Genomic DNA, 22,196 nt, shown 5'->3' with positions numbered 1-22,196 from the left:
TGGTTATTGTCTCACGTGTCCATGTGAAGAGACCACCAAACAGGCTTTTCTTTTTTAATTTTATTTTATTATTATTATACTTTAAGTTTTAGGGTACATGTGCACAACATGCAGGTTTGTTACATATGTATACATGTGCCATGTTAGTGTGCTGCACCCATTAACTCGTCATTTAGCATTAGGTACATCTCCTAATGCTATCCCTCCCCCCTCCCCCCACCCCACAACAGTCCCCGGTGTGTGATGTTCCCCTTCCTGTGTCCATGTGTTCTTATTGTTCAATTCCCACCTATGAGCGAGAACAAGCGGTGTTTGGGTTTTTGTCCTTGAGATAGTTTGCTGAGAATGATGGTTTCCAGCTTCATCCATGTCCCTACAAAGGACATGAACTCATCAATTTTTGTGGCTGCATAGAAACAGGCTTTGTGTGAGCAAAAATGCTGTTTATTTCACCTGGGTGCAGGCAGGCTGAGTCCGAAAAGAGAGTCAGCAAAGGGTGGTGGGATTATCATCGGTTCTTATAGGTTTTGGGATAGGCGGTGGAGTTAGGAGCAATGTTTTGGGGTCAGGGCGTGGATCTCACAAAGTACATTCTCAAGGGTGGGGAGAATTACAAAGAACCTTCTTAAGGGTGGGGAGAATTGCAAAGAACCTTCTTAAGGGTGGGGAGAATTGCAAAGAACCTTCTTAAGGGTGGGGGAGATTACAAAGTACATTGATCAGTTAGGGTGGGGCAGAAACAAATCACAATGGTGGAATGTCATCAGTTAAGGCTATTTTCACTTCTTTTGTGGATCTTCAGTTGCTTCAGGCCATCTGGATGTATACATGCAGGTCATTGGGGATATGATGACTTAGCTTGGGCTCAGAGGCGTGACAGTTATCTTATGAGATCACAAATAGGGAAAAAACTATCATGGCATGAGGTATAATTTTCAATGACAACATCATATTTAGATTCAAGAAGTGCTGAATCTCAAGCAATCCAGATGAATATGAAGATGCTGTGCTCTGAAAAATGGGCTTGAAGACTGGCCATAGGGAATGTCAAAACACTGATATCAAAAGTGCACTGGAAGAATTTGATTAAAAGTATTGCATTGTGAGTGGGTAAAGGCAGTATTTCTGCATTATAAACATGATGTGATTTTTTTTTTTTTTTTTTTTTTTTTTTTTGGGACGGAGTCTCACTATCTCACCCAGACTGGAGTGCAGTGGCACCGTGTCAACTCACTGCAACCTCCATCTCCTGGGTTCAAGCAATTCTTCTGCCTCAGCCTCCTGAGTAGCTGGGATTACAGGTCCCCACCACCATGTCTGGCTAATTTTTAAAAAAATATTTTTAGTAGAGACGGGGTTTCACCATGTTGGCCAGGCTGGTCTTGACCTCCTGACCTCAGGTGACCTGCCCTCTTTGGCCTCCCAAAGTTCTGGGATTACAGGCGTGAGCCACTGTGCCTGGCTGTGATTTTTAAATATATAATGAAAACTCAACATTTTAATCAAGATTTACAAATTAATGAATAGCATGTGATTTTACCTATAAGTAATTAAAATAACACATTATTATGCACAGACATTTGTCTATTTAATTAACATCCTGATATATTTTAATATCAACAAATATAAAAGTAAAAACCTTTTCTTAAGAGTTCATTTAGCAAATGAGGATGCTGTAATATTTGGAGTCACTCACATGTGGTACTGAGTTTTATATCGACTATTCCACTCTCATGGAAGTGATGACTATGTGTTCACTCACACATAGTTCAGACTAGCATACAGTCTGTCCTCAGTCAACGTGTGTTGAGTGTTGCTGTCATTTCAGAGATAAAGAAATACAGACTCCAATGAGTTAGGAGACTTGGCCAAAGCACACAGCAAATAATGAGTAGAGTTGGTTCTGTGACAGTTTTCTGACCTCCTGGCCAGAGTATAAGCCACTACAACCAGCTAGAGCACAAGGAATCATTTCCTCCTACCCCGCTGGGAGGATAGCCTCATCACAGGGCAAAGACTACAAAGCTTGTAAGCCATGAATGATATCTAGAGATATGTGTTATGTCTGGATCTGGCCACTGCTTAGGACAACTTCGTGCATGTAAGTTTGGCCTTTTGCTAATTTGTTATCAGTTCATGATAGCTGGCAAGCAAAATTGGCAATATTTGATCACTTGGCTTAGTAATACTATTTTCTTTCCATTTCAAATATTATCTCTTTTTGTCTCACATTCTTTTCAACACTTGATAGCAGCAGCTCACGCTGCTGATGCAACACAGGTGAAGAGCACCTTCCCCTCCCCCACCTGTGGGCTGATTCCCACCACGTGGATCCCAAGGCCATCCCAGGAACTCTTTGGAGGGGAGAAGCCCAGTGGAAACTGTCAGGCCTCTGAGCACAAGCCAAGCCATCGCATCCCCTGTGACTTGCACGTATATGCCCAGATGGCCTGAAGTAACTGAAGAATCACAAAAGAAGTGAAAAGGCCCTGCCCCACCTTAACTGATGACATTCCACCATTGTGATTTGTTCCTGCCCCACCTTCACTGAGTGATTAACCCTGTGAATTTCCTTCTCCTGGCTCAGAAGCTCCCCCACTGAGCACCTTGTGACCCCCGCCCCTGCCCACCAGAGAACAACCCCCTTTGACTGTAATTTTCCATTACCTTCCCAAATCCTATAAAACGGCCCCACCCCTATCTCCCTTCGCTGACTCTCTTTTCGGACTCAGCCCGCCTGCACCCAGGTGAAATAAACAGCCATGTTGCTCACACAAAGCCTGTTTGGTGGTCTCTTCACACGGACGCGCATGAAAGAAACTTTTTCAGATGTGTGGTGATGTAAGAAATACTAGGAAAAGGGTTTTGGTAGAACAGGCATAGCAACAAGGTTATTAATGTTGCAAATTGGCATACATTTTAATCAATGACATCAAATTTAGCCACAATTAGAGAAAGTTTTTTTTAATCACAATTTTATTAAGAGGTTGGAGGTATATTCTCACAAGTTAAAGAATGTGGTCTCCAAATATCATTTTAAGAACTGTACTTTAAAGAAATGTTAGCATTCCCTTAATTAAGAAATGCATGGAATATATGTATGATGGGGGGGCGTATGTGGGTGTGTGTGTGGGTGTGTGTGTGTTGTTTAAATCTTTCTCACTCTGGGCGAGGCAAGTTTTCAAAGGCTGGGCTGTCTCTGGGTAGAATCATGCCATAAGTTGCTTTCTGCCTTGCCCCCTCCCCACCATTCAACAAAAGTCCTTGTGGACCTCCCATCAGCTCCCTTCTTCCTTTCCATTCCCTCTCCAGGCCCCATGCCAGCCCTCAGAGTTGTCCACCATAAAACATTCCTCTTGGGGCCTCAGCTGGAAATGGCATGTCTCCTTTGAAGTGATTAGGTCCCAGAATGTTAGGATCAGAAAAGACTTGAGGTTGGGCATGGTGGCTCATGCCTGTAATCCCAGCACTTTGGGAGGCCAGAGGGGGTGGATCACCTGAGGTCAGGAGTTCAAGACCAGCCTGGTCAGCCTGGTGAAGCCCCATCTCTACTAAAAATACAAAAATTAGCCGGGCCTGGTGGCGGGCATCGGTAATCCCAGCTACTTGGGAGGCTGAAGCAGGACAATCGCTTGAACGGGGAGGCGGAGTTTGCAGTGAGCTGAGATTGTGCCATTGCACTCCAGCCTAGGTGACAGAGCGAGACTCCATCTCCAAAAAAAAAAAAAGACTTGTGTAGATCCCACGAGCAAACACTTCTCGTGTTCAAAGTAAAGGGCTCAAGGACCAAAGACCTCGATCTTCTGGGGTGACATGTCAGGGCAGACTCTGAGAATCATGTCTGGGGGTCTCTAATGCTTTCCTAGGGCCCAGAAGAGCAACCCATGTGGACAACGCTGATAAAAGGAATCGGTCCTTGAGGTCCCGGCACCATCCTACTCTTTGCCTTGTCTCTTTCCTCCAGACTGGCCCTAAGTGCCTCTTCCAATCCACCCCTCTGAATGGGGCAGGGTGGGCCTACTCACTGAAACGTGGCTGTGCCAGAAGAGTTTTCCAGATTCAGACTGATGCAGGGGTGGGTGAATACTCTGACTTGCAGAAGATTGCCTGGGCTTGAGTCCTGATTGTCAAGAACAAATCCACATTATCATGAACACTTATTGGACCGGGCATGGTGGCTCACACCTGTAATCCCAGCACTTTGGGAGGCTAAGACAGGAGGATTGCTTGAGGTTAGTAGTTTGAAACCAGCCTGGGCAACACAGGGAGAACAAGTCTCTGCAAAAAATAAAATTAGCTGGGTGTGGTGGTTCATGCCTTTAGTCCAGGCCACTCAGGAGGCTGAGGCAGGAGGATTGCTTAAGCCCAGGAGTTTGAGGCTGCAGAGAGCTTTGATTGTGCCACTGCACTCCAGCCTGGGCAACAGGCAAGACCTTGTCTATTAAAAAATTATTTTTTTAAAAGGACATCTATTACAACCCCTTTAATTGTCAACCTGTGAGTTACTGGAAACTTACTATTTTAGGGAGACAAAAGGCTAAAAAGACAGTTGTTAATTCTCAGCACAATTCAGAATTTTTTGGTAGACATATCATTCTTTTCTTCCCTGATCCATACACATGTATCATTCACAACCTGAACCCTTCAATGGAGTCTCCTTGTTCCTAAGATAAATTCCAGCCCTATAAAGGCCCTCAAGATGGAGCCTTGCTGACCATTCTGGCCTCATTTTGTACCACTGACCCCTCTTTCTGTGTGCCTCAGCCCTCTTGTCTTCTTCCTAGGAGAGGCTTTTCCTCATCCCTCAGTCCTAGTCAAGCCCCCCATCCCCACCCCAGTTGCACACTCCCTTAGCAACTTGGCAACTTCTGAAGGATTTATACAATTGTAATTAAGCAATTAGTTGAGTAACTGGTTGAGCATTCACTCCATATTCCTGAATGACCACTCACAGAGATCATGGATTATCTCTGTCTTGTCCCCCAAGAGCTTATGACTGTACCTTGCATGTATAATGGGTACATAATATTGGTTGAATGAAGAATGGGGATCATGGTGGGGCTGCATGTCTGGCAACCACACTGAATACAGGGGTGGGGTCTGGCCCAGCTGACTAGCGATGGGAGCTGGAGGGACGCAGCCTGGGTGGCTTATGAGAGCAGCCAGTGAACAGGCTGCCAGGCCAACCGGGGAGAGGGAGGCTAAACCTGGAGCATCTCATGAATAGGCCTAGGATATCCCTGCTGCCTGGGCCCCTCCCGGGATGACCACAGAGAGGACTCTGGAATTTGGCTTTCTGGCTCCATGTTTTTCTGAGCAACACAAGATTTGGATGAAAACCAGTTTAGGAGAAAACACAACATTATTTTATTCCTTGAAGGTCTGGGAAATCCTCTTGAGGAACAAGACAATTTGGGGTGGTCAAACTCATTCTCCACACCACATGGCCCAGAAGGGACCCTGGTCACCCATGGGCATTAGGGTATTTCTGGCTCCAGTTGAAAGAACTTTGCTGGCTTTGGAGTCAGGAAAACAGGTTCAAATCTGTTTTTCCACTTGTTAGCTGTGTGAACTCTGGCAAATGACGTAATCTCTCCTTGAGCTTTAATATTTGCTCTTATAAAATTGGGTATAATTACTAGGTTAATACAGGAATTAACAGATCATAAGTAAAGTGCCTGACCTAGAGGAGGCACTATATGTAAACAATCATTAAAATTACTGATGGTTTTATTACTATGTTAGCTTCTGGAGGGACTTTGGCTTTGATTCCTGTAACTTTTGACTTCTTTTAATGGGGATTGAATAAAAACCCATTGTGAATAGGTGTTAAAGCTGCTAGAAAGTTTGATTTCTCAGATAATAGAAATCTTCCTTTTAACAGCCTTTTATTCCTATTCAATGCAATTGCAACTCTGATCCAGAAACTTTATGGTTAGGATTACCTCTAGCAATTAATGTTCTCTCCAATGAGTGGGAAGGGAGGTCACCTCCACTCTGCTGTCCCAGAGATGACAGGAAATGCTGCACTGAGGTGTTGAGCCCAATTACTAGGTACTGTTAGGAAGAACACACAAAGAGGTGCACATTCCTGAGTGATGAGTGTGGGGCATTTTGTTTATCCACTCCTTACAAGGAATAAGTTATCGCTGGTTCTGCAGAAGGTCACTGTTATTTCTCTCTCCCCAAGTGGCTGTAATCAGCTTTTTCCTCAGAGGGATGGAACCATGATTAAACAGGGTAAATATACCAGCACTTAACATACCCAGCTATGAGGATATTGATAGACCCTTGGAACAGAGCTGGAGTTTTTGTCTAATCCTACCGACTCTCAGAAGACAAGCCTCCCTTGAACCCCAGAGGCAAGGCAGCCTGGGAGCCAGTCACAAAAGTTGGCCTGGTAGGAAGAGCTGGAGTTGTTTTTTACCCCGCCACAGGCCATTTGTTCCTTTCTTCCCTTTTCCTTCACTGATAGCCCTTGAGCACCGTGGTGTTGTGCAGGTGGTCCTGCAAGGAGCAGGGGACCCAGAAAGTGAGGGGTGATGCCTTTCCTCCTCTCAGAACGATCAGCCCTTTACACTCAAAGGAGCATGTAGATCTCAAGGCCACCCCTGGGATCTCTAAAGCTCAAGCCTCACCTCTGTGCTGAAGCCCTTGTCCTGTCCACCTCCTGTCCTTGGGACTCCCACTGCACCAGCTTGCACTCCATGCACAGTCTGATGCTTGCTTTTCTATGGTCTTTTGTGGTTTGTGATGCGTTCATGGGTGTTGGTCTGGCCTCCTCACCAAGACCACATCCTCACAGGCAGGTACTATGGCTTCCACTTCATGTGTGACCCTGCAGGGCTCAGCCCAAGTGCAAAAGTGCGGAGCATTAAAGGGGTGCTCGTTGAAAGCTGATTGATGGATTGATGGAAAGTGGGTTAGGTTTGTTTGGTTTTTGTTTTTTTGAGACAGAGTCTTGCTCTGTTGCCCAGGCCAGAGTGCAGTGGTGCCATCTCGGCTCACTGCAACCTCCACCTCCCGGGTTGAAGCAATTCTCCTGCCTCAGCCTCCTGAATAGCTGGGATTACAGACACATGCCACCAAGCCCAGCTAATTTTTGTATTTTTTTTTTTGAGGCGGAGTCTTGCTCTGTTGCCCAGGCTGGAGTGCAATGGTGCTGTCTCGGCTCACTGCAAGCTCCGCCTCCCGGGTTCACACCATTCTCCTGCCTCAGCCTCCCAAGTAGCTAGGACTACAGGCACCCGCCACCATGCCCGGCTAATTTTTTGTATTTTTTAGTAGAGACAGGGTTTCACCGTGTTAGCCAGGATGGTCTCGCTGTCCTGACCTCGTGATCCACCCACCTCAGCCTCCCAAAGTGCTGGGATTACAGGCATGAGCCACTGTGCCCAGCCGGATTAAGTTTTATAAGACCAAAAAGCCTGGATGATCACCTCCTTCACATAGTCTGTTAAGAACAAGCCCTATGGAATACTATTCAGCCATAAAAAAGAATGAAATCCTGTCATTCCCAGCAACATGGATGGAGCTACAGGACATTACGTTAAGTCAAGTAAGCCAGGACCAGAAAGTTGAACACCACATGTTTATTCATATGTGGAAGCTTAATAAATAAATAAAGCTATCTCAAAGAAGTAAAAAGTAGAACAGCATATACTAGAGGCTGGAAAAGGTAGGGGGAAAAGAGGGATGGGGAGACATTTGTTAAAAGGTACAAAATTATAGCTAGCTAGGAGGAATAAGTTTTGGTGTTCAATACCACTGTAGGATGACCTAGCTAACAATACACATTATATAGCTTCAAATAGCTAGAAGGAGGATATTGAATGGTCCCAACACAAAGAAATGATAAATGTTTGAGATATGGACATGCTGATTACCCTGATCTGTCACCATTTATTATATGTATAGAAGCATCACTACATACTCTGTGAATATGTACAGTTGTTATTTGTTAATTAAAAAATAAATAAAATAAAAGTTAAACCAACGAAACGAAACCAAACCAAAAGAGCGAGCCAGAGGTAGAGAGCTGGTCTAAAGGCACCTATGTCTCTTCCACGCAACACTAGCCCCTAATTGTCCATAGAGCTGACCAGACACAAGAATTCCACTCTGGATTTTTCTTGCAGATGACCATTTAAAAAATCCATTTTCCATGTCCTCCTCCAGGCTCATGGGAGCCCATCGTTACACGGTACTTCCTGGGCTCCATAGTGTGCCCAGCACGGCACTTAGAACTCAGTGCAAAGGAGCAGGGCTGCCACCTTGCCCCAAGGACATTCTGTGTCATCCAGGGGTGAAAATATACACTGAGAGGCACCTCCTTGCCATCCCCACATCCCTCTTTCTTCTATCCCTCAGGCCTTTGTAAACCTTTTATCATCTATTCAATTTCCTGCTATTGCTTTCCAGAGCCCAGGAATGAGGACCAACTTCCCAATCTCCCCTTTCTGGTTCTCTGACATCTTTCACAGACCCCCTTGTCTTTTTGGCTTTCATTGTTAATTGCCATAGGAGCAAATAAGAACAGGCATGGGAAAGTTGCAAAGGTTCCCAAAGATTTACTTTTCTCCCCTGCTGATGGAAGTTGAGTTGGTACAAATTTTCTGGACAGCAAATTTCCACTACTGCCTTAATAGCTCATAGACTGTAGCTCTTCCCCCTCCTTCAGGTCCTTCACGACCCACCGACCCACCGGAAAAGGGCAGAACCAGCATTGGGCGGAGTCAGGGAAGTGCCCCCACCTTGCCCAAGGGGCGCTCTCCTAGCAGGTCTTGCACAGGCCTGAGAGGGCTGCCCAGTGGATGCCAGGACTGGGCTGAACAGCTGCAGTAACCTGAGGCACTGATGTTTAGGAACTACAGCATCTGAAACCCCAATGTTAAAAATGGGAATTTTCTAATATTATTGAGGATCATTTCATTGATGGTCTTAGAGAAAGGATCTCTACTTTGACTGGTAAGAACATGAAGGAGCTTAAGAAATTTCCAAGACAGTTGGCTGCTTACGTAACTAGAACAATTGGAGAAGCTAGGAAATGCCCACATAAACTACGTAAGGGCACCTATTGCAGAAAGAAAGTTCATCATTTTTTTCCAAATCTCAAATCTTTCCTATGGAAAGGAACATTCCTCTTCAAGTGGGGGCTGTGGGCATGACAAGTAAAGAAAATGAACTGGCTTGTGCAGGCCACCTGCCAGAAAAATTACACCATGATAGTTAAATATATCTGGTTAACTCCAGTGATTCTGATTTTTTAGACAGCCTATTATCAAAATATGGCGGGCTTTCCCTAAGGTTTCGCAGGACCATGAAACAGTTGCACAAGTTCTGCTGAACATGAATTTGAGATTGAAAGTAGCTTTAATTTTTTGCAGAAAAAGATGTGTGAGTGAATTTGTACCTTATTTGGTGAGGATAGGAGATCTTGGAGTTTGGTGGATTGCCTTCTCGTGCTCACCAATAGTTTACAGGAAGAAAAGCAATACACCTTACATGGCTGCTGTATAGATTTGGTACCACTAGCAAAGTCACTACTTAAAAGCAAATTTGAAGAAAATATGTAATAATTGGTTTAAACTGGATTCAATCAGTCATTAAAATGTGGTGGTCAGGATTATAATCAAACAAATTATAATAATGGAAATATTCAGATTTTAAAACAATGAAGTGTATTGTGGGAACAGGGAAGCCATCTGGGAAATACTGCTATTATAGCCAAGGATATAAACACTCATTTGTAACAGTGGCATTGAGAGATTACAGCTACTAAAGAGTGTTTTGTTATTCAAAGCATCTCTTGACTATATGACTTCCAAGAAAATGTCTCGTCAGAATTGTGAACTATCGGAGAAATCAAAACCACTTTTGTCTTTAAAAAGCCACATAATGAACCCACTAATGAAATTCTAACAATATACTTCATACTGAAGTAGAAAAATACCCAAAAGGAACAGCTTCAACTTCAATTAGGTGGAAGGATACTACAAAGATACTTGAACTTTGGTGCATTTGGGATTTATGTGGTTATTTGGTAACATTGTTTAGGAACTACTGGGTCTTAATGCAGTCCTGCATATTACATAAGCGTATAATTTATACTATATGAAAAAATAAGACAAGGACTTATTACTAGGAACCATAAAGACCAATCTTAGTTAATTTTTTAAAGATTATATTCTATAAGAAAATGTGTGCAGCCATTCTCTTATGTTGAAAAGGCTTTGAAAGTTTAAAAAATTATGGCAAATAACCAATATTAAAATTGTTTTTCTCACAATGAGATATTGTGCATGCAAAAAGCCTTAAATGTTAATAAGCTGATGTGTTATGATACCAATATCTGTAAAATATTTGCTTGATGATAATCCTGACCACCACATTAAAAAAAAATTTAAAACCATCATGCTTCTGCATGTTCAAAGGTAAATCAGAGGAATTAAATCAGAGGTTTATATTCATGAAGAATGTTGTCACTGAAATGTTTTTCACATCATTTTCACAACTTGAGAATATTTTTATCATCTGATTTTTTTTTTGGCCAGGGTCATTATGTTATGTAGGCATGTGTTATCTCTAAATAAAAGGAAAGAATTAATATGTATTTTTACGAATGCTCAACTAGAAATGTCTATGGAGTTGGCTAATTTATACACATTTAATTAGATATAGATTTCTAATATTTTCAGTTCTGTATAATTTAAGCTTTCTTTATTTAAGTAAACTTATTACTCTTTTTTAAAAAGTTCATGTGCTTTGATCAGTCGATTCATCTGCAAAATTAGGAATAAAAAGAAAAATATGAAATAATCAGAAACACAAAGAATTGTATACAATGAAATTAAGACAGAAAATATTATTATTTTGAAACTGTTGAATATGATGTTTTTAAGAATTTTTAATTATATAAGAAAATGCTCAAAATATAATGTTAGGTGAAAAAAGAAAACAGCACACATTCTCAACCACAAAATTATATGTGTGTGACTATATAGAAGTATGTGTGCATCTGTGTGGATGTTATGAAATTAAAGCATATCAAAATGTTAATAGTGATTCTTTTTGAGTGTTGGGAACACAGACAATTTTTATTTTCTTTTTTATGGTTTTCTGTGTTTTCCAAAACATCTACCATCATAGTTTTCCACATGCTCAGGAAAAAACCTCATGTGAAAAGAGAAACACATGTTTAGAAAAGTTCCTTACATAATAATTGCTAGCAAGAAACAGAGTGATTACTATATCCAGGGGCTTTATAAAGGTATCTTGTGTGGTCTTCACAGCAGCACTGGGAGGTGGGTGTTAGTGCCCCTGTTTTCAAGACCTAGAAGAGTCCCAGGCTCAGGGAGATTAAGTATGTTGTCCAAAGTCAAACAGCTTTTGTGTCTGGGCCAGGATTTGATGCCACACCTGTCTGATCAGAGGTGGAATTATGGACGTTCTCGGGTACAACCTGCTCCACATTTCCTTGCCAAGCGTAGAGCTCACTCAGCAGCCTTCATCCCAGGGAAGGTGTGAGCAGCAAATGAGAGTACATAGGTTCATTTAGTGTGTCTACGGTGTTTTTAAACTATGACATGTTGGATTTCAGCACCCAGACAGGGACCCTTAAAAGACCCCTGTAGAGTCCCACCTCATTTTAATGAGAAGTCAGTCTCGGAGTTGAAGAAAATCTTTTATTTATTAGAAGTTGCCTACGCTAAAATGAGTTCTCTGTGTGGGTGGAAATTTGCTTGGTTAGAAATTGAATTCTTGATTTGCATCCAATCTTTTCTAATAATCCATTTAAGGAAAGGGAAGTACTCGCACACGGGATGGATTTATAAAGTCTTGAGAAACCTGTAACTCTCTGAGTTTATCTAACAAATAGGCCTGTCCCTGACTCAGCCTGCTCAGGTCAGGAGGCTTGCGGAAATGCGCCAGCTGCCTAAACAGATACGAAAGCTCTTATTTCATCACCAAAACATCTTCTGTAAGGCGGTGTTGAGCTCCGACACGAAAACCAACTTGGATAAGATCCTCAGGGTACAAAGCTGATTGGAGTGACTGCTGCTCTATTAAGCATATCAGATCTCACCCATGACCCCCTCCCTCCTAGCCTTGCTGTCACCACCCGCCCCCTCCCCACCCCACCCCTCCAAAAAACCAATCTGTGGCTGGGACTGAAGTCTCTTTGATGAGGATGAAGTTTTTCATTGATGATTGGAGAGACAGCCTAAATGAATATAGTGCCCAATGATATGATTTAAATTCCTACCAAGGTGTCACCTGTCCAACCCTTTCCTGAAAGCAGAGTGGGAATGAAAGGGGAGAACATCAGGTGGGGAGTTTGTGACCTGGAGGAGAGCAAAGGACCCAGAATGGACAAGTCCCTTGTCAACACAGAGCACTTTCCATCATTTCCTGCTTCTTGAACCCAGACAGACACAGAGAAGACCTGCAAGAAAGGGCATACCCTAATTTGCCTGGTGTCCATGAAGGTCATGGATGTAGGATTTGCAGTACACTGTGGGGAGAAGAGCCATAAACTATGTAGGCATCACTTAACTTTGGACAAATCACTTTACCTCTCTAAGCCTCAGTTCCCTCTTCTGTAAAACAAGGTTGAACTGGACATTTTTCGAGTTTCCTTCCAGTTCTAAAGGACTGCCGCCCCAGGCTTCCCTAAATAATCTGCTCCTGCTTGGATTCAATAGAACACTGGAGATTCTTTCTCTTATCCTCCTGCAGTGAAGAGAGACCCATGAGGACACCTGATCCAGTTCTCTGAGGCCCTCCTTGTCCACACTTGGTTGTGTCTGAGTAGTACAAAGCATCAGACCTATCAGGGTGGTTGGTCTTTGCTGCCTATTAACTGTGTGTGACTTAGAAAATCTTTGCACTTCTGCTCCTTGATTACTAGAAGTGAGCAATTGCAATTGCTCCTGCCTGGCAGAGTCGGGGGGAGGTTAGAGTTGTGGGTAATGTGATTAGAAGAATGCCTGGCTCATCATAAGCATGCTCTTGTCATTGGCTCCTTTCTTCCTTCTTGCTGGCTAAGTCATTTTGGGCTGTATGTGTTAGGAGGAGGGAACCCCAGGAGCTGCTCCAGAGGTGTATAGGTTAGGCAACATAGTGAGACCTTGTCTCTACAAATAATAATAATAATAATAATAATAATAATAATAATTTAAGTTAGTTAGGTGTGGTGGTGCATGCCTGTAGTCCCAGCTACTCGGGAGGCTGAGTTGGAAGGGTTGTTGGAGTCCTGGAAGTCAAGACTGCAGTTAGCCATGATTGCAACATTGCATTCCAGCCTGGGCGACAGAGGGAAACCCTGTCTCGTAAGAAGAGAGAGAGAGAGAGAGAAGGAAAGAAAGGAAGGAAGGAAGGCAGGAAGGCAAGCTGGCTCCTGTCTCAGCTACCCAGAGTGCTAGGATTACAGGTCTGCACCACCAAGCCCTACGAATTTAATTTCTCTCTGATTAGCGATCAGAGGAAGGAGATTGGTGATTGTCTCCCCTCTATGAGACCCAGTTTTCCATATTCTAATCTTCTTCAAGACCAGCTCAAGGCCTACCTCCCTTGGAGGCCCCAGACCCCTCTCGTCCACAGAGATCATACAAGGTGCATCCTGAAATGCATGCTCACCATGCACTGCCTTGCAGGGCTAGATGAACTTTCAGATGAGAAAGTTATGATTCCTCCACTAGATTGGGATCTCCTTAAGGTCAAGGGTCATGTCTTCTTGATCTTTATCTCCACTCCCCACTCCCAACCCATCCTCAGAAAAATGCCTAGCATGGGGCTTGGCACATGGTAGGCTCTCAACGCGGGTTTGACTCTGAATGAATGCATTCCTGGGGACTCCAGTCAGCTATGATAATGGCGATCATGAAAGCTGAGGTGTTTGCTTAGTCATCGCCACATTGCATATTTTTCAGCTTAATTATCATGTAATTTCTTCATATCTTCCAATAAATGAAAGACAAAATATATCTTTGGGGGATGTATGCATGTGAAAATTAATTCTCATGGAAGTCCTTGACTTACCACAAAAATTCAAGAAATGTACTTCTTACACATGGACACAGGGAAATACTGATCTTCCTGTCATGTGCAAATTAGGAGCCCTTGGACAGAAGAACTGAGTGTGAACCCCAGTGGAGTGAATATTTGTATTTGTATTACTGTAAATTTTATAGAATCAAATTTCTTAGTGGGAAACCTTACTGCAGTCATCAGTTCTGGTAACTGCTCCTGATTTAATAGTTTACGGCTAGCAATCCCAAATAGCAATGTAATTCAGCCATCTACCTCGATGTGTTTTTTTTGTTTGTTTTTTTTGTTTTTTGAGACGGAGTCTCGCTCTGTCGCCCAGGCTGGAGTGCAGTGGCGCAATCTCGGCTCACTGCAAGCTCTGCCTCCTGGGTTCACACCATTCTCCTGCCTTAGCCTCCCGAGTGGCTGGGACTGCAGGCGCCCACCACCACGCCTGGCTAATTTTTTTTTTGTATTTTCAGTAGAGATGGGGTTTCACTGTGTTAGCCAGGATGGTCTCGATCTCCTGACCCTGTGATCTGCCCGCCTCGGCCTCCCAAAGTGCTGGGATTACAGGTGTGAGCCACTGTGCCTGGCTTTTTTTTCTTTTTTTTAGATAGAGTCTCTTTCTGTCACCCAGCCTGGAGTTCAGTGGCACGATCTTGGCTCACTGCAACCTCTGCCTCCCAGGTTCAAGCAATTCTCCTGCCTCAGCCTCCTGAGTAGCTGGGATTACAGACGCACGCCACCACACCTGGCTAATTTTTGTATTTTTAGTAGAGACGGGGGTTTCACCATGTTTGTCAGGCTGATCTGGAACTCCTGACCTCGTGATCCACTTGCCTCGGCCTCCCAAAGTCTTGGAATTACTGGCGTGAGCCACCGTGCCCGGCCCTACCTCAATGTTTATTTCACAATTGTGCACTGAAGAAAAACCACACAGCTCAAGTGAGTTGGTCAGTGGGAGCTCTGCTGAGATCTTTTATAGCTGGCATGGGCGAGTATATTTTGTTTCAACTGCTTTGAGCATTTTCACTCTAGTATTCTTGTAGCCATTCTCTGATAGCCCAACTCCAGGTTCTTTCTATGAAGCATCTTGGCCCTGCCCACTGCTATTCCTTTAGCCCTTTTCTGCAGTACATTAGATATTATGTATCCTTTTTTGGCACTGCATCTTTTATACATATGTGGCAAGCCACCTTTGGCTTTGGCTACTAGTTAAAGCCTAGGTCTCTACACTTATCCAGCGTCCTAAATGGGGATGCCTCACTCAGTTGTACAGGTTGTGCACTGCATTACTCCAGGGAATGCATGTACATGGACCATGGTCGTGCTTCTAAAGCTATATTGGTACAATCTCCATGACACTCCAAGAATGACCCATTCTCATAAACTACCTGCCAATTTCTCAGCAAACGCAAGCTTCATTCAGAGGCACTGGCAAGAGCCATAAAGCATGCCTGATCCTGGGTACTCCAGGTTTGTTTCTGGGAGTATAGATCTGTTCCTGCTACTCTAGGTATGTTCCTGGATCCATTCAAAAGAAAGCTGCATCTCGGCACCAAACTGTTCTGGCCCTGCTTTTACCTTAATTATACTCTGGTATAAGTCATCAACCACACTGGAAAATGTAATAAGAAGCACTCTGCTCCTTGTTGCTGCAGCTTTCTAGTGCTCTGAACTGAGGACTTTGCTCACAATATTACAACCTCTTCAGAAAGTGTAATGGGAGAGCTTTCTCTCTGATCTCGGTATCAGGAAGAGTTATTAAGTTTTTCCTGAACAAATGGTTTGATTGGATTTTATAGACGGGTACTGTGATGCGCATAACTGAAACTGCTTTCATGTGTGTGCTGACTGTTAGAAAGTGGAGCGGCAAGTTTGTGGCTCAACACTAAGCAATATAAAGACCTTGAAGTGTGTGCTTCATGCCTTTGCCTCACTCTTCTTCATCTGCACTCATTAAACAACAAGTAGTTACTGAGTACCTGCTACCCACCAAACACTGTTCTAGATACTACTCTGAAAATACATTTTAAATAGAGCAGAGGTCTGAGAAGCACTGACGGAGAAGTTGCCATCTGAGCAAAGCCTGAAGGAGTGATGTGTGCTGTCTAGATCCCTGGGGAAAAAAAGCATTCCAGAGATAGGAAACAGGGAGTTCAAAACCCTGAGGCAGGAGTGTGCCCAGCATGTTGAAGAAACAGCAAGGAGGATGGCGTGGCTGAAGTGGAGTGGGTGAGGCAGCGATAGGGTCCAAGAAGTAACCGGAAGCAAGCTCCTGTCGAGCTTCAGAGGGCTTTGCTGTACTTGGGCCTTTACACTGCGTAAGATGAGAAGCCATTAGAGGGTTTGGAGCAGAGGAGTGGCATAACTTCAAAGGGTCCCTCTAGCTAGCGAGCTGACAGCACACATAGGAGACAGAGGTAGAAGCAGGGAGACCACTTAGGAGACCCCTGCAGGATCTCAGAGGAGATGGTGTGCTGAGCCAGCATGGTAGTAGGTGGGAAGAGGTCACATTCTGGGTAATAGGATTTGTTGATAGATACAGTGTGGGGCACGAAGGACAGGAGGGGGCCAAGGATGACCCTGAGAAATTGGAAGGATAGAGTGTCTTTAACTACATGCTCTCCCATGAAGGGAATCTGGGGCAGTAGATTTGAACACGCTAGGAGTGCGGGGCCTGTTAGACCCCAAGTGGAGATGAGTGAGCTTGGGTTTCAGGTAGACATCTGGCTGAATAGAAATGCATTGCTGGTATTCGGAGCCACAGCCTAGAGCAGATGGCAGAATAAAGGGTAGGTGGGGGTAGCATGAGGGTGGAGAAGAGGCGCTCCCGGGGCTGAGCCCAGGAACAATGCAAGGCTAAGAGTTCTTCTAAGTTTCCTACCCTCTTTCTTAAAAAACCTAATTTCCTAGGCTGGTATTTTACAAATCTTATTCCATTTCATTCAGTTCTATAACCCCCTTAAATTCTTTTCAGAACAAGACAAATGTATTTGAAAGCAGTGCAGTAATAGTAATATCAGTTCATCCCTTTGAGAAATATTTGTTAAGTGCCAGTTATGTGTCAAGCATTAGGAGCTGGGGATAACCAGACAAACTGCCTCTCTTGTGAAACAGAGTATATTTGAGGGGAATGACAGATACTTGACATGTAGATAAACACATAGTTAGGATAACATCAGATCCTAACAGGTGCAATATCAGATCATAACAGAAACTGGAACAGATAAAGAGGTAGAGAGTAACTCAGGACAGGGAGTGGTGGCTTCACTGAGGATATGCTACTTGAACTGAAACATAGGTGATGAGAAGGAGTCAGGCAATGTTCCGGCAGAAGAGCATTCCAGGATAGGGTCAGTAGCCAGCGCAAAGGCCTGGGATGGGAATGAGCTTGGCATGCTGGGATGAGTAAGTAGGCTGGCTGGAGTGGCTGGAACACAGTAAAGGAGAGCTGCGTACGAGGGGAAGGGGCCAGGTCATGTTGGGCCTTGACAGCATGGCTTTCAGTTCAAGTGCACTGGGAAGCCACTGCAGACTTCCCAGCAGGGGAGGGACGTGATGTGATTTGTCCTGCCTGCTGAATATAGAGCCTCTGAAAAGAAGCAGAGACTGGCATGGAGGTGGTGCCATGGATGAAGAGCCGGATGGTGGCACTGGACTGGAATCTGGTGTTGCAAGTGGGAGAGAGACTCAAGTGCATGTTCAAGGCTTTGCTCAGGGATTGAAAGAAGTAAGGGAGAAGTTAAAGCTGACTCCTGAGTTTTAGCTTCAGCAAGTGGATGGATATGGATGCTGTTTCCTAGATGGGGCAAGCTGGAAGAGGGGCTGGTTTCCTGGAGAAACAAGAGTTCTGCTTCAACTACGTTAGCCTTCAGATGCCTATTAGTCACTTTGCAGATCTCCATGTTATCTACGTGGAAAGTCACACGTTCACTCAATTAATATTTGTTGAATGAGTGAGCGAATGCCAGTCCTTTAGAGTTGAGGAAGGCCAGACATAGAGTTATAGATTGGCAATTCAGAATGACGCCAATGCTGGAGGAAGCAGTTTCACTGATGTTTTCTTTATCAGTCATCTTAGCCACCTGCAGAGGCGTTGGCTGGGAAGTATTTTCCTTATTCTACAGGTGAGGTGTCTGAGGCTTTAGAGACCGCATGACTGCCCATTGCACCCACCCACAGGGGCAGATGCAGCAATTTTTCTTGTGTCTTCTCATCCCAGGCTAGTGCCCTTTCCACCATCCAACACCAAGCTCTTGTCAGTGTGCCTCCTGTCACCTGGGAGAGCTGCACTGGAAGGTGCCCATGTGATGTGGAGCCAACCCTGGCCCTTGTGGATGTGCTGACTCTGGCCACACAGAAGCTGTGAGGCCCAATTCCAGCCTGAAAGTGGCCTGGGCCATCAGTAGACAACCTGAAGCTGGCTGGGACTTCCTAACAGGCCTGACCAAGTTCTGTGACAAGAACAATGACACCCACAAATAAGGCTCCCCCACCTTGTCCTGGTGAGTCAGAAGCACCATGGGGGAAGGCTGGTCCAGGCTTCAGAATGGAACTCAGGCCAGGTTTCTCCCACAGCAGACAGGCCTCTTCTCTGGGTGGTTTGCATCATTGCAGTTCATTGATTGGGGGTGGGGAGGGGGCATGATGCTTTTCCCAAAGGTGTACTAGTTTCATGTCCAAATTTCCAAACTTACTATCTCATACCAGCTTGGCACGTTCCCCTTAAGATGATTGGGTTTTGTAAATTTCCACATCAAAGGCAGAGACAGATTTTTATTTCTGCAGGTGCAAGTGATGCATTAAATAATAATCATTGCAGTGAATCTTAGACTGAAGCATAAGAATCAATGGGGAGAAGAGGTGGTATTGCGCCCTGGTGGAAAGCTTGCAGTCTGAAGCTAGGCTGCCTGCATTTCATTCTCAGCTCTACACTTAATAGTTCTATGCCTCTGGGAAAGTTTCTTAATCTATCAGTATCTCAGTTTACTCATCTGTAAAATGGTGACAATAATAGTACCTAGTCATAGATTGTGCTGAGGATTAAATAAGTCAGTTTATGTAAAGCATTTGGAATGGTGCCTGCACATATTAATAGTATTTTATAGGTAAAAGCTACTATTATTAATAATAGTATTATTTTTAATAGGTGGGTAACTTGTTAAAAATGTCAAGTCCAGAGTTATACCCACAGCGTTTCTGTTTCAGTGTATGTGGAGTGAGGCCCAAGAATTTTGCACAAGCATTAGAAGAGATTTGGGATGCAATTGGACTCAGGTGACACTTGGAGAAACCCTAGTCTATAAGGCAAAAATGAACATACAAGGCAAGGTGGGAGGTACTACAGGGAGAAAAGTAGGGATAGATAACAGTGTACACATCCCTGCTTCATGATTTCATACTCTTCAGCATGGAAGGTTTAGAATGGAATCCAGCAGGCTCTTGCAAGGGATACAAAGATGGTCTCCAAACAAAGTAATTTAACTGTGCTATTGATTTTTTTCATATTACCTAGTTACTTTATTTATTTTGTCTCCCTCTGCCAGATTTTTAAAATTAAGATATAATTCACATACTATAAAATGCAACCTTTTAAAGTGTACAACTCAATGGTTTAAAGTATAGTCACAAAGTTGTGCGATATTACTACTGTATAATTCCAGAATATTTTTTATCACTCCCCTCCCCAGGAAACAAAAAGTGCCTATTAACAGTCACTTCCTATTCTCTTCTTCCCACAGCCCCTGGCAACCACTAATCTGCTTTTTATTTCTATGGATTTTCCCCTTCTGGACATTTCCTATAAATGGAACTACACAATACGTGGCCTTTTTGACTGGATTCTTTCACTTAACATGCTTTCAAGATTCATCCATATTGTGGCACACATTAGCACTTCATTCCTCTTATGGTTGAACAATATTTGATTATGTAGATATACCACATTTTGCTGATTCATTCATAAGTTGATGGACATTTGGGCTCTTTTTACTTTTGTTGGCTATTTTGAAAGTGCTGCGATAAAATTCATGTACACTTATTTGTGTAGACATATGTCTTCATTTCTCTTGAGTATATACCTAGGAGTAGAATATATGGAGTATAGAGTAACTTTATGTCAAACATTTTGAAGAACTGCAATACTGGTTTCCAAAGCAGCTACACCATTTTATATTCCCACCAACAATGTATGAGAGTTCCAATTTTTCCACGTCCTCACCACCACTTGTTATTGTCTGGATCTGTCTTTTTTATGTTAGCCATGGTACTGTGTGTGAAGTGGTATCTCTGTGGTTTTGATTTGCATTTCCCTAATGATTAATGATGTTGAGCATCATTGCATTGCTTATTGAACATTTGTATATCTTTTTTGAAGAAATGTCTATTTAATCCTTTGTCCATTTAAAAATTTGGTTATTTGTCTTTTTATTGTTGACTTTTAAGAGTCTTTTATATGTTCTAGATGCTAGATTCTTATCAGATATATGATCTGCAAGTATTTTCTCCCATTCTGTGGGTTATATTTTCACTTTCTTCATAGTGCCTTTTGAAGCACATAAGTTTTCAATTTTGATGGAGTCTGACTTATGTATCTTTTTCTTTGTTGCTTGTGTTTTTGGTGTCATATCTAACAAACCATCGCCAAATCCAAGTTCGTGAAGATTTATACCTATGTTTTCTTCTAAGTGTTTTATAATGTCAGCTCTTATATTTAGGTCTGTGGTCCATTTTGAGTTAATTTTTTATATGGTGTGAAGTAAGAGTCCAACTTTACTCTTGCATGCACCATTGATTTTTATCTTCATAATTTTATGAAGATATACAAACAGAAAAGTGCACAGATCAAATGCGTACAGCTCACTGAATTTTTGCAAAGAAAACGCACTTGTATAACCAGTACCCAGATGATGAACCAGACAGTGACAGAATCCCGAAGGCTCCCCCATGCCCTCTTTAAGTCACTGTCCCCAACAAGGGTAACTACTATTCTGACTTTTAACTGATAAGTTTTGTCTGTTTTTTAACTTTATAGAAAGAAAATTGTAGTATCTACTGTTTTGTGCCTGGTTTATTTCTCTCACATTCACTCTGTGAGTGAGATTCATCACGGTGTTTCACAGAGTTGGAATTAAGATTCATTCGTTCTCATTGCTGTATAGGGTTCCATCATATACATATACCATAATTCCTTTATACATACTATTGTTGACAGACATTTGTGGTTTCTAGTTGGGGCTATAATAAATAGTGCTCCTAAGTACATTTTTGCATGTCTTTTGGTGAACATATATGAACATTTCAGTTGAGTGGAATTGCTGGGTCATAGGGTACATATGTATTCAATTTTGTTAGTAGAGATAGTAACTTAAATTCTCATCATAAGTATGTGAGAGTTTTAGTTACTCCATATCCTTACCAAAACTTAGTATTGCCTGTCTTTTTTCTTTTTGCCATTCAACTGGATGTGTGGTAGTATAACAGTGAGATATTTAATTTGCAGTTCTATTGTAGTCCATTTGAGCTGACAGCTTATAAACAACAAAAATTGTTTCTCAGTCCTGGAAGCTGGGAGTCTGAGATTAAAGCAGTCAGTATCTGGTGAGGGCCCACTTTCCAGCTCATAGGTGGCGCCTTTTTGCTGTGCCCTCACATGATGGAAGGGGTAAGGGGTCTCTCCTGGGCCTTATTTGTTTGTTTCTTTGTTTTTTTTCAGATAGAGTCTTGCTCTGTGACCCAGGCTTGTGTGCAGCGGTACGATATTGGCTCACTGCGACCTCCACCTCCCAGGTTCAAGCAATTCTCCTGCCTCAGCCTCCCAAGTAGCTGGGATTACAGGCATGTGCCAGCACACCAAGCTAATTTGTGTGTGTGTGTGTGTGTGTGTGTGTGTGTGTGTGTGTGTGTGTGTTGATTTTTTTTTTTTTTTTTTTGGTAGAGATAGGGTTTTGCCATGTTGGCCAGGCTGGTCTTAAACTCTTGACCTCAGATGATCCACCCACCTCGGCCTCCTAAACTGCTGGGATTACAGGCGTGAGCCACTAAGCCCGGCCAGGCCCTTTTCATAAGGGGACTAGTTGCATTATGAGGACACTGCCTCTGTGACCTAATCACTTCCCTAAACCCCCAGCTCCTAATACCACCACTTTGGGAGTTAGGATTTC

General features: G+C 43.2%; 1 long non-coding RNA gene and 1 pseudogene across 3 annotated transcripts in view, besides 1 other annotated feature; both read left to right on the top strand.

The window, feature by feature from the left end:
• The window catches only part of SLC44A3-AS1 (SLC44A3 antisense RNA 1), a 203,881-nt gene that overhangs the window by 159,926 nt on the left and 21,759 nt on the right, over positions 1-22,196 (top strand). For 2 of the 3 annotated variants that reach the window (NR_160780.1, NR_160779.1), the window contains exon 4: positions 21,749-21,870. This is a non-coding gene — a long non-coding RNA (SLC44A3 antisense RNA 1). Of the gene's footprint in view, positions 1-2,251; positions 2,775-21,748; positions 21,871-22,196 lie in introns of those variants that run through there. The other variant, NR_104131.2, reaches the window with a different exon arrangement.
• Positions 482-1,000: an enhancer, noted in NCBI's record as "NANOG-H3K27ac hESC enhancer chr1:95124863-95125381 (GRCh37/hg19 assembly coordinates)". NCBI's record gives its function as "activates a minimal SCP1, AML or CMV promoter by ChIP-STARR-seq in naive H9 embryonic stem cells {active_cell/tissue: H9 hESC(naive)}" and the evidence as "EXISTENCE:reporter gene assay evidence [ECO:0000049][PMID:30033119]".
• On the top strand, positions 8,823-9,954 carry KATNBL1P2 (katanin regulatory subunit B1 like 1 pseudogene 2; annotated as a pseudogene).

This window comes from Homo sapiens, chromosome 1, assembly GCF_000001405.40.
Source record: "Homo sapiens chromosome 1, GRCh38.p14 Primary Assembly".
NCBI lineage: Eukaryota > Metazoa > Chordata > Mammalia > Primates > Hominidae > Homo > Homo sapiens.
The sequence above is the reverse complement of the archived record's forward strand: the minus strand, read 5'-3'. Positions and strand labels throughout refer to the sequence as shown.